General features: G+C 35.0%; 1 long non-coding RNA gene across 1 annotated transcript; it reads right to left on the reverse strand.

The window, feature by feature from the left end:
* Positions 1-425: 425 nt before the first annotated feature.
* On the reverse strand, positions 426-7733 carry LOC105377187 (uncharacterized). The gene is made up of 4 exons (XR_941009.2): positions 7681-7733; positions 6184-6266; positions 5956-6096; positions 426-1993 (listed from the first exon to the last, which is right to left on the reverse strand). It is a non-coding gene; the product is annotated as an uncharacterized LOC105377187 (long non-coding RNA).
* Between the last annotated feature and the right edge of the window lie 4295 nt (positions 7734-12028).

Consider the following 12028-nt stretch of genomic DNA (forward strand, 5'->3'; position numbering starts at 1 on the left):
ATGCTTATCAGTGAGACTACCTCAGGCTGAGAAATTCTTATCACCTATTTTTAAATCACAATCCAGTAATTTCTAGATTCTGGCAAATTTAGGGCAGCAGCAACTTTTATACTCAACATACATTCATCAAGAAAAAAAGCACACACATTGTGAAAAGAATCAAAAGCAAGCATAGAAAAAAATATACCACAATTTTGCCAATAGCTGAGGCTGATAGTTTTATCTGGCCAGAATAAATTTATTTACTGTGAATACACTGTGGAAACTTTATAGTCCTAATTTGGGTCCCTATAAAAGCACATCAAAATCAAGAAAGGAGGCTTGAAATAAATTCAACTAATTGCCGTGTAAACATTTAATGACTATTCACATTTGTGTATGATATACAGTCATTTAGAAAATTATCATTTCGTACATTCATTATGTTTTCTTTTGTATATTTATTTGTTCATTCATTAATTATATAAATAGTTATTGTGCACAAAATATCTCCAAGGCACTAAAACACAAGGAATGAAGAGATGGTCCTTGCTATCAAAGGTTGATATTCTTAAGAAAAAAAGATAAGTGAATAGGTAATTAGAATTTATTATAGAAATCACAATATTAGGAATAGGTAAGTATCAGGAAGGCTTCCAGGGGTCATTTGCATCTGATCTGAAGTGTAAAGATTGATCAGCAAAGCCCTAGATCTTATTTTGGTGAGGACAACATTCCAAATATAATTTAAAAAACAAATGCAGGAAGATGAAAAATAACTTACTAGGTGCAGAGGCTTAGAGGCATTTTATAATTCCCAGAGCATAAAATTAAAGACCGTGACGATTCTAGAGAAGCAAACAGGGGCTAGAACCACATGTTAAGAGGCTTGACATTATCCTGGGGCCAATCTGGAAAAGCAGATCTGCAGGTGTTAATAGATCTTATAAAGGAATACAAAGAGTTCATTGTTAAGTCAATTTGAGAAATACAAATCAAACAAGATTAAGCAGGCATTCTTTGAGTTTTTAATATATCTGTGTGCTTTGTAAATTACCAAACATTATCCCTAAACTCATTTGTTCAAGGTAGTTTTTTACAAGGAATATCTCACAGGACTAAGATTCCACTAAAAATTATCCTGAAGAGTTCATATGTGGAAATAACAAGAGCGGATTTGCAAGTTAGAAATATCTCCCTGGGGATTTTTGTGGAGGCTTGGTTAAAGGTTAAAATAAATGGATGAAAGAAGGCCAGTTAATTGGCTAGACCAGGCAAGAGATAATGAAGTACCACAGGAGCAGTAAAATTAGAGAGGAACAAGTGAAATATGTTAAGGAATTGAAATCTGTAAGATTTGTGTCTGGATGAAAAGGTAAGAGGAGAAAAAGAAATCAATTTCCATACTTCTGGGTTTGTAGACTAAGTGACTGAGAAAGGTACGGACCACCAAGTAAGATTTAAAAATATAGAATCTTTTGGGAGAGAAGTGATGAGTTAGGATTTTGAAACATAGGGCATGTAAAGACCACTGGTAATTTCAATAAGCTATATTTACAGAAACCTGAAGCTCATGGAAAGATATGTCCCATAAGAGAGAAATTCTGACATCAGTAGCTTTGGCTTTGTGTAGAAATCTTCAGTGAAAAATTTCATCTGTGATCTCTGTTTATATTACCTCTTCCTATTTACACGATGGTATCAATTTTCTCATCCATGGTTCTTAAACCAATTTGTTTATACTTGAACACATGCACACACACACACACACACACACACACACTCACACAGACCTTCTATCTGTAAAATTGGTAAATGTCTTACCTCGAAATAAGCATTGGTATTTTTCAGAATCAGGTAAATTGGCTTTCAGTAACATGTAATCCACAAATATCAAAAGATCCCAGAGTATTGCTCATTGTGAGTCCAGGCAGGTGAGGTGATGGTTTCGATCCCAAATACTCTAATTTTGTGGCATCTCCATATCCATAAGTGTTTTCCCTTTTACTGTGACCTGGGGAAAACAAGCATGGAGAATCTAAAACTGGTTTTTAAAAACTAAATGCTTCCACTTAAAAGTGAAACATAAGTTCCAATTACAAGGCAATTCACTATGCCTCCTATAATTTCAAAAAGATGGGAAAATGCAACAAAAGAAAAAAGAACCAGAAATATTGGTGAGTAGCAGGAGACACTATTCTAAATTAACTAATCAGCTAATTATTATTTTAGGGTCTAGCATATTTGTAGCACTTTGATATAGTGTTACATATAAATGATAAAACGTAAGTTTACTTAAAGCTGTTTCCAATTCCCCCCTCAAACACCAAATAAGACTCTAATAATGGATAATTACACAAAGTTGACACCTAGAATTTGCTATGGAGGGTATCTTACCTATTGCTGGCACTTCATTCCAGACTTCTTAGGTAGAATCTCAGTGGAAGAGAATAATACGAGTACTACCTACAAATTGTGTAAGACCTATAAATGAATACTACCTACAATGAGTACAGCCTACAAATGAGTACTACCTACAAATGTGAATGTATAAAAAAAAAAGATGTTAAGGAAAAGTAATTATCTACTGGATGCTCTATGTTAGAAGAATCACATTTACCCAATAAGTGCTCTATCACCAAAAAAATTAGCAAAAAAATAGTACAATACCTTCCATGTTCCACAACCACTCATGAATATCAGTCTACAGTCTAGATTATAGAAGACAGATCTTTGCTAACATAATTACAAATGAAATCAGGTATTATGTGAAGATGGAAGATAATTTTTCAAATGTGTTACAATTAATACATAGTTATTTTGTACTTAAGAAAAAAATCAAAATGTGTGTATTTAAATAAGTTTTTAGTTTTCTCTCCTAGGTTCTGCCCTTGTAAGAGAGAAGCTAACAGAATCATTACGCTACATATTGACTCTAAGGCAAGATTAACAAATTTTGCTTCTAGAGATTCCTCCACTGGCCTTAGCTTCTGTATTTCACAGAATCATTTTCATTTTAGGAAACTGGTGTTATAAAGGGTAATGTGCCCTCATGTGATTTCTCAAACAAATGAGTGTTTTTAAAATATCACTTTGTAATAATAAAAATATACTCATGAACTTGAATTATTGTGCTGTTTATAACTATTCTCTTGGTGTGAATTACTTTGCAACAATTCATGGCCTGCACACTTGGGTTAATTAAATTATTCTTATCCTTACAAAGTGCACAAATGAAGTAGAATTATTTTTAAATCTGTCATTTTAGGGGAAAGAGTCTGATTACTATTTGATTCAGTGGCATGGAGAAATGAATTTAGCCACAGGCAGCACAGCTCTGAGACCAATGAGAATATTGGGGAAGGTGAAACTAAGAAGATTTTAAAAAGAAAATACTTTCTGACTTTAAGCCTGTCTCCCCAAATCATTAGGGACAGAATAATGCCACATCCTCTAGTATTTGTTTTGTTTGTTTGTATGAGAAAGTCAAGGTGATAGTAAGTGAAGATCCCCCTGCTTCCTGAGTTCTACAAGCAACATGCAAATGTCAGGTTTAAAATAGTATGCTATATTTTAAAATCTTAGTAAGTTTGATATGCCATTACAGATCATTTTAAATGCTCATAGTTACAGTAATGTATCTTTGTTAAAAATATCGCTCTTATTTTTAGCTAAATTTGTACAGTATACAAGAAAGAAATATATGATCACTCGAAAGTGATAAACTATCCTATTCTCCAAAGATCTATCTCATATAAGAATTAGAAGCCTGGATTATCTCATTAACCTTAAGAAATGGCATGTTGTAATGATGTCTGTAGTTTAGCATTACACAAAAAATATACTCTCGAATACAAAATATATGTCATTATGATTAATATCACATATGTTTAAAAGTTATTTCAGAATAGGAGACTTGTTTGCTAGAAATGTAGCATTTAACTGAAGTACTGCATATCCAACTTCTATTATCCATGCACTCACTCAAGATCCAAACCAGTGCTTAAGTATTTTATTCATCATCTTGTGGGAGCCGAGACATCTATATTAATTAACATAAAGTGGGAGAGACATATTTAATACTAATAGCAGATTGTTTTAAAAATAGAGGCACAGAGCAGATAACTATTTCTTTCATGCGATTTCTGGCATTTCTTCATCCATGTAACTGCCCTTCATTTCATTAGCAATAAAGAGCAAAACTCCTAGATATCAAAATGATAAATTTCTTTCACTCAGAGTATCTTTCTTGCTCTCGAATACACTATACACTCAGTAAAAGGGCATTATTTCCTAGAAATGTGAGAGTTAAATTTGTTAAGCATCATGATACGGGTGTTGTAATGAACACCATGCTGTATTATCATGACTTCAATAAGATCAAATGCTGCTTAGGCATCTGAGATTCCTGAAACAGAACTGAGAGGATCACAAGGATTAAAGACATATGAAATGTTAAATCTTTAATCATTTTTCACACATTTTATGGCTAGCCTATCCTTTCTCACAACTCAATGAAGTTGAGACGATGACAAGTGGAAAATAGTCAACTAATTAAATTTCAGCCTTTCAAAAAGGTCAAAATAGTACAGTATATTACTATACTTCACAGAATAAATGAAGCATGCAAATGCCAATACTTCATGCCGGTGACAAAACCAGAAAAATATATGAGAGAAAATGGAGCAAAATTGTCTCATTGCTTCAAGGTGTGGCAGTCAAAATTTAGCTAGGATTTAAATTTCATAGTGAGTTATTTGCTCTAAAACACAAAAGGTTGCTTTTGGTCTTATAACTGTATCTTGAAAGTTACTTCTGGGTTGTACTTCTTGAATATATTTTGCTATAGACTATAAATGTGAGCCAAAATCTCCCTTAGCTACATGTTCCAAAAGCTTTCTTACACTGTCTTTAACAATAAGCTGAATTTCATCTTTTGTCCATTTAATGAACAATCACACTTTATCAGTATGGTCATAAGGGACAAAATAGCCTACATAAATAACATCAAAAAATAATCCCCCAAACGGATTGTTTTGTATATATATAGTCACATATATACAATTTATATTATACACACATAATTATTAGTGTGTGATGTTTTTGATATTAAAGAACAAAATGCACTAGATATGAATGCACCTTTTATCCTTGCTGCTTTTCATGCTATTCTGCAGCAACCTAAATGCCACCCATCTCCCATCCTTCAAGGCTCAGTTTTTGTCTCAATATTATCTTAAAAAATAATATTCTAATGATTATTTCCTTTATTTAAAACTCTTGGTTACAGTCAGTCTCAACAAAATTATATGTTATTAGTAATAAGATAATGCAAGTAAAGCACATATCACAGGGATTGGCACAGACCAGATGTTTTTAAAAAAACATGGCCTCTTATTGGAAATAGGTTTTGAATCCTGACCTGCATTAGCTAAAAATGGCAATCTCACTCTTTCATAACTATATATTATCCATAATATTATTAACCCTCTCCATTAAGCATCAGTTTTTACATGCATAAAATGATCAAAATGAAACCTATTTCAATGGGTTATTGAGGTGATTATATTTGATAATGTTTAAGGTGCTTAACACATTTGATACATAATCAGTGTTCAATAAAGATTTGTTTTCTTTCTACCATTTTCATATAACTCCACTGTCTATTTAATAATTTCAATTAGCTGAATTCTCTCAGGCTTCTGAATGTGTGGAGAATTCAGGAAAACTCCACTGTATTAATTCCTCACTATTGCTGTAACAAAATCCCACCAACTTGGTGGCTTAAAGCAACATAAATCCATGATCTACTGACCTACAGTTATCAAGAACCTACAATTCTGTAGGTAGAAGTCTGATATAGGTCTTGCTAGGCAAAGATCATGATTTTGGAAGTGTGTGGCTCCTTTCTGTGGGTTCTAGATTCAGTTGCTGTTATTTGTAATTATAGAAACAAAGCCTCTATTTTCTGGTCACCTATGATCGATGGGTCAATCCTAGCTTTTAGAAGCCTCCTCATTTCTTGGTTTGTAGCCATCTTCATCCTCTTCAAAGCCAGCAATGGCAGGTAGAAACCATCTTGAGTTTTCAGATCTTGTGTAATTAGATAAGGCCCATCTGGATAATCAGAGATAATCTCATTTCAAGGTTGATAACAGTAACATATATGTAAATTTCCTTTGGCAAGTTTGGTAACATACTTACAGGTTTCAAGGATTAGGATTCAGACATCTTTGAGGATCCATTATTCTGCTATCTGTACTCTTTGTAGGGTTATGTCATTGGACCTGTCAGTTGGACACATTATTTTCACACATGAACACAATTCCACTATGCCGAGTGTGATAATTTGTAGTTAATTGCATTTAGGAATTCCCCAGGAGTGCTAATATCTTATCACATATGTGTTTATGCAACCTGTACCTGACCTAGAGTTTAACCCAACTGCTGCAATGGTCAGGTGTCCAGTGGGTATATACGTGGCTATATATTCCAAATTTAGTCAGAATGTTAACTTTATACTGACATAGGTGCTATAAAATAGCAGTATAAACTCATGATTTTTTAATATGAGTTTAATTTTTAATATAAGAATATGATTTTTAATGTGTATATACATGCATGTATATGTATGTATGTATATTTACACACAAAGAGATACATATGGTTATTAGATACATATTGATGTGAATATCTATGTATGTATGCTAGAAGCAATAACATGCTAGTAACAATGAACATACCATTTCGCTTTCTAAACATCATTTTCCAATAAAACAAACCAAAATTTTTATAGATTGGAGTTGTTTCAGGGCAGAAGAAATATAATGGAAGCTGGAAAGTCTTACAGTGCCAGAAAATAAAAAAGGGCTCAAAAAGAAGGAAAAGATAAGATCTTGTTGAAAGAACACAGATGCCAACAATTTGAATAATCTGTAAGTGGCCAAAGCTGAAAAAAGAAAATTGAATAGCAAGATAAATAATGATAGTAATGGACTTTAATCCATAAAAATATAAATATTCATGTCTATATTAACAAAATTGTTTATTAAATAAACATATGAGGATGACAGTCTATTCTTCCTTACAATATAATTCTAATTGATATATGTACAAGGTAAGAAAAAAGTACTGTTATGCAAACACAGTAATAATAAATCTTTAAGACATGTTCATTGATGGAAGCTAAAATTATATGGCAAATTTTGAGAATGAGGCTTTATAAATTCCAAATATCTCCCCTAAGTTATTTAACAACTACAAAGAGAAAGATAGTAAATTTAGAATGGAAAATCCTGGAAGAAGCTACCTGAGCTAAATTATCCAGGTTAACGAAACCTAAACTAAGATATATTTACATTATGAACCACTTGATATGAAACACCAAATAGGGTACAACATTGTCTCTGTGGTATTCTTTTAAACAATATATCATACCATTGCTATAAGGAGACAGCATCAGACAAACCCAAATTGAGGAGCATTCTACAGAATAATTGATCAGGGATTTACAAGTATCAAGGTGATGAAAGACAAGAAAAGACTGAGGAAATGTTAGAGACTGGAGGATACTCAAGATAAATAGCAACTATACATAATGTAGAGCCTGGATGGAATTCTGAACGGAAAAAGGACATGTGTAGATAAGCTGATGGAATTTTATTAGAAACTAGAATTGCAAAATAGTTAATAGTATCTTACCAATCTTAATTTCTGGTTTTATGTAATCCTGGTTGTGGTTTCATAAAATGCTAACATAGGAAAAAAATAATAAAGAGGTAAGAAAATTCATTTCACAATTCTGGCAACTTTTTGCATGCCTTAATTTAAAATAAGTTGAAATGGTGTAATCTAATAAGAGTTATTGGGACTATTCATGCACAGGCACAGATTACTACACTGTAAGTGGTAATGATAATGCTAACATGGTTGAGCACATACTATTTAGCAATCATCAATTAATTTCACGAATTAATTTATGTAACACTCATGGTCACAGTATGAAATAAGTACTATTGTACCATCCACATTTTACATATGAAATAACTGAGGCACATAGAGTGAATTATTTAGCCCAAGAACTTTGAAACCAGGCAAAGCCCAAGCTTTTATCTCCCATGCTGCATAGCCTCTTTCGTAGAAAGCTTAATAAATGTTTAATTAAGCTGATATTTAGATTGAAAGTAGCATAATTAAATTATTAAATTTTGAGAAATGGAGTTAAGAAATAAGTCAGTATAACTTCACAGTAAATACCACATGCTATTTCTCAAAGAACATGTTTTGAATTACAAATAATAAAAACGAAGAAAATAATGAGAAAATTTTCAAGTTAGTATCTATTTTATTATGATTCCTTCAGCTCTTATTTCTGTGCTTTAAAAAATATAAAATTAGGACCATTTTGATTTCTGTTTATTGTTCTTATCTCCAAAATTTTTGTTATGGGGCTTCCTGCCTGTTCTCTATTATTTTTTCCCTTCTCTTTTATCTATATTCCCTTAAAAGATCACTTGTCTATCTTTTGCTAGCTCCTCCTCTTATATTTGCCCTATTCCATTTTATATCTCACATAACTTGCTCTGGGTGGAAAGATAATGTGTCTCAACACAGTACATTCCCTCATGGCAGAGCAGCTAAAAGAGTAAGCATTAATTTTCAACTTAAGTATCAATATAAATTTCAATTTAATATAAATCTGAAGCGTTCCAGTAAAATCTTTATTCTTGCAGCAGGTCTCTCTCATAACCCCATATTCATGATGACTTTAGGCAATGACAAACAGCACACTGTGTCAAACTCTGACTCTCCCTCATTTCTTCCCTTTATCAGCCTCTCTCATATAAAAGTGGCAAAACTCACTGCTGAGAACATTATAAAATTTGCATTGTACTTTCAGATGTAGAATAGTAATTCTCATGGATGAAAAAAAGAGTAAGAATTATCTTTTACTTTACTAGTTCAGAGACATAAGTATTTCACATTGAAATTTTATACTAAATGAGTGGAATATTTGTATCAAGCCTGAAAATCAAAGTTCTTAGTACAGTTATAAAACAATAGGTGAGACTACACAAAACTATTCTTCACCTCTTCACTCAAGTGTTTTTGGGGAAAAAACACTTTTTTCCCATCTCCATTTGGATGAATGAATCAATGAGCATCTTAAACTCAATATGTTAAAAAACATTCTCAGGGTGAGCTATTGTATTAGTCCATTCTCACACTGCCATAAAGACATCCATGAGACTGCGTAAGTTATAAAGAAAAGAAGTTTAATTAACTCACAGTTCCACAGGCTGTACAGGAGGCATGGCTGCAGTGGCCTCAGAAAACAATCATGGCGGAAAGTGAAGGGGAAGCAAACACATCTTACATGGTGTGAACAGGAGCAGACAGAGTGAAGGGGGAAGTGATACACACCTTGAAACAACCAGATCTCATGAGAACTCTTACATAAGAGCAAGGGGGAAGCCTGTTCTCATAATTCAATCAGCTCCCACCAGCTCCCTCCTCTAACACTGAAGATTACAATTTGACATGAGATTTGGGTGAGGACGCAGAGCCAAACCATATAATTCCACCCCTGGCCCCTCCCAAATCTCACTTTCTTCTCACATTTCAAAGCCAATGACGCCTTCCCAACAGTCTCTCAAAGTCTTAACTTATTCTAGCATGAACTCAAAATACCAAGTCCAAAGTCTCATCTGAGACAGCGCAAGTTCCTTCCATCTGTGAACTCATAAAATGAAAAACAAATTACTTCCAAGATACAGTGGGAATACAGGCATGGGTTTAATGTTCCCATTCCAAATGGGAGAAGTTGGGCAAAATAAAGGGGCTACAGGCCCCATGCAAATCCAAAACCCATCAGGGCAGTCATTAAATCTTAAAGCTCTGAAATAATATCCTTTGATTTCATGACTCACATCCAGGTCACACTGATGCAAGGGGTAGGCTTCCAAGGCCTTGGGCAGCTCCATCCCTGTGGCTCTACAGGGTACAGCCCCCACAGCTGCTTTGGTGGGCTGGTGTTGAGTGCCCATGTCTTTTCCAGGTGCATGGTGCAAGCTGTTGGTGAATCTAGCATTCTGGGCTCTGGAGGACTGCAGTCCAGTAGGGATTTTGTGTGTGGGCTCCAACCCCACATTTCCCCTCTCCACCGCCTGAGGAGAGGTTCTCCACAAGGCTCTGCCTCTGCAGCGGACTTCTGCCTAGACATTCAGTTATTTCCATACAACCTCTGAAATCTAAATGGAGGCTCCCAAGCCTCAGCTCTCTCCCTCTGCACACTCACAGGCTTAACACCACGAGGAAGTCTTGGTGGCTCCAGGCTTGCACTCTCTGGAGCAGTGACCTGAGATGTATTTAGGGCCCTTTTAGCCATGGTTGGAGCTGGACTGTCTGGGATGCAGAGCACCATGTCCTGAGGCTGCAGAGAGCAGTGGAGTCTTGGATCTGGCCTTCAAAACCATTCTTACTTCCTAGGCTTCCAGGCCTGTGATGGGAGGGACTGCTATGAAGGTCTCTGAAATGCCTTGGAGGTACTTTCCCCATTGTCTTGGTTATTAACATTTGGCTCCTCTTTACTTAGGCAGATTTCTGCAGTACACTTGAATTTCTCCCCCCAAAATGGGTTTTTCTTTTCTACCACATGGCCAGTCAGCAAATTTTCCAAACTTTTATGCTCTGCTTTCTTTTTAAATATAAGTTATAGTTTCAGATCATTTCTTTTTTTATGAAAATGATTTAGGCTTTTAGAAGCAGTCAGGCCACATTGTGAATGCTTTGCTGCTTAAAAATTTCTTCTGCCAGATTCTGTAAATCACCTTTCTCAAGTTCAAAGTACCTCAGATCTCTTGAGCAGAGGCACAATGCTTCCAGTCTTTGCTAATGCATAGCAAGAGTGACCTTTATTCCAGTTCCCAATAAGTTCCTTATGTCCATAAGGAGGCCTCCTTAGACTGGACTTCACTGTCCATATCACTATCAGCATTTCAGTCTCAACAATTTAACAATCTCTAAGAAGTTCCAACCTCCCCTCAACTTCGTGTCTTCTTCCGATCTGTCCAAACTGTTCCAACCTCTGCTCATTACCCAGTTCCCAAGCTGCTTCCACATTTTTAGGTATCTTTATAGCAATGCCCCACTGCTCAGTACCAATTTTCTGTATTAGCCTGTTCTCATACTGCTATAAATACACACCTGAGACTGGGTAACTTATAAAGAAAAGAGGTTTAATGGACTCACAGTTCCACAGGCTGTGCAGGAGGCATAGCTGGGGTGGCCTCAGGAAACTTATAATCATGGTGGAAGGTAAAGAGGAAGTAAACACATCTTATATGGTGGAAGCAGGAGGAAGAGAGTGAAGGGTGGGGGGTGGGGGTTGCTGCTCACTTTGAAACAACCACATCTCATGAGAACTCTATCACAAGAGCAGCAAGGGGGAAGTTTGCCACCAGGATTCAATAACCTCCTTCCGGGCCCTTCCTCTAACAACTGAAGATTAGAATTCAGCATGAGATTTGGATGGGGATACAGAGCCAAACCGTATTAGCTACATTTGCTTCTCCAGGTTTAAGGGTATTCCCATGGTGTTCCACCATCCCTTATCAGCTTCTCTTTCACTTGGCCATACATTTGAAAATAGCCTCTTCATTAAGCATCCTTCATCTGCTCTTTTGACATACTGTGTCTATCCTGGTGGATCCTTTTTCAATGCAATGCACAGTTTTCCTGTATAAAGTTCTTATAACTTGAAAGATAAATTGCTAGCAACAGTTAGAAAAAACTCTCATTCACAGCTAATTCAATACCACTACCTTTCCAGTTTTTAGTAAATGAGTTTACCACCTAAATTACATCTTAAATATAAAACATTGAACAGGACCCAATTTTATTCATTCATTTTCCCCTAACCTCTATTTTAATAGAGGAAGTACTTCTTATCAAAGGTCAATATTTCCATCTATGCTTTGGATCCCAAAATTCCCACTTTCTTAAAAATGGTAATGTTGGCTGAATACAGTGGCTCATTCCTGTAATCTCA

This window comes from Homo sapiens, chromosome 3 (assembly GCF_000001405.40).
Source record: "Homo sapiens chromosome 3, GRCh38.p14 Primary Assembly".
NCBI lineage: Eukaryota > Metazoa > Chordata > Mammalia > Primates > Hominidae > Homo > Homo sapiens.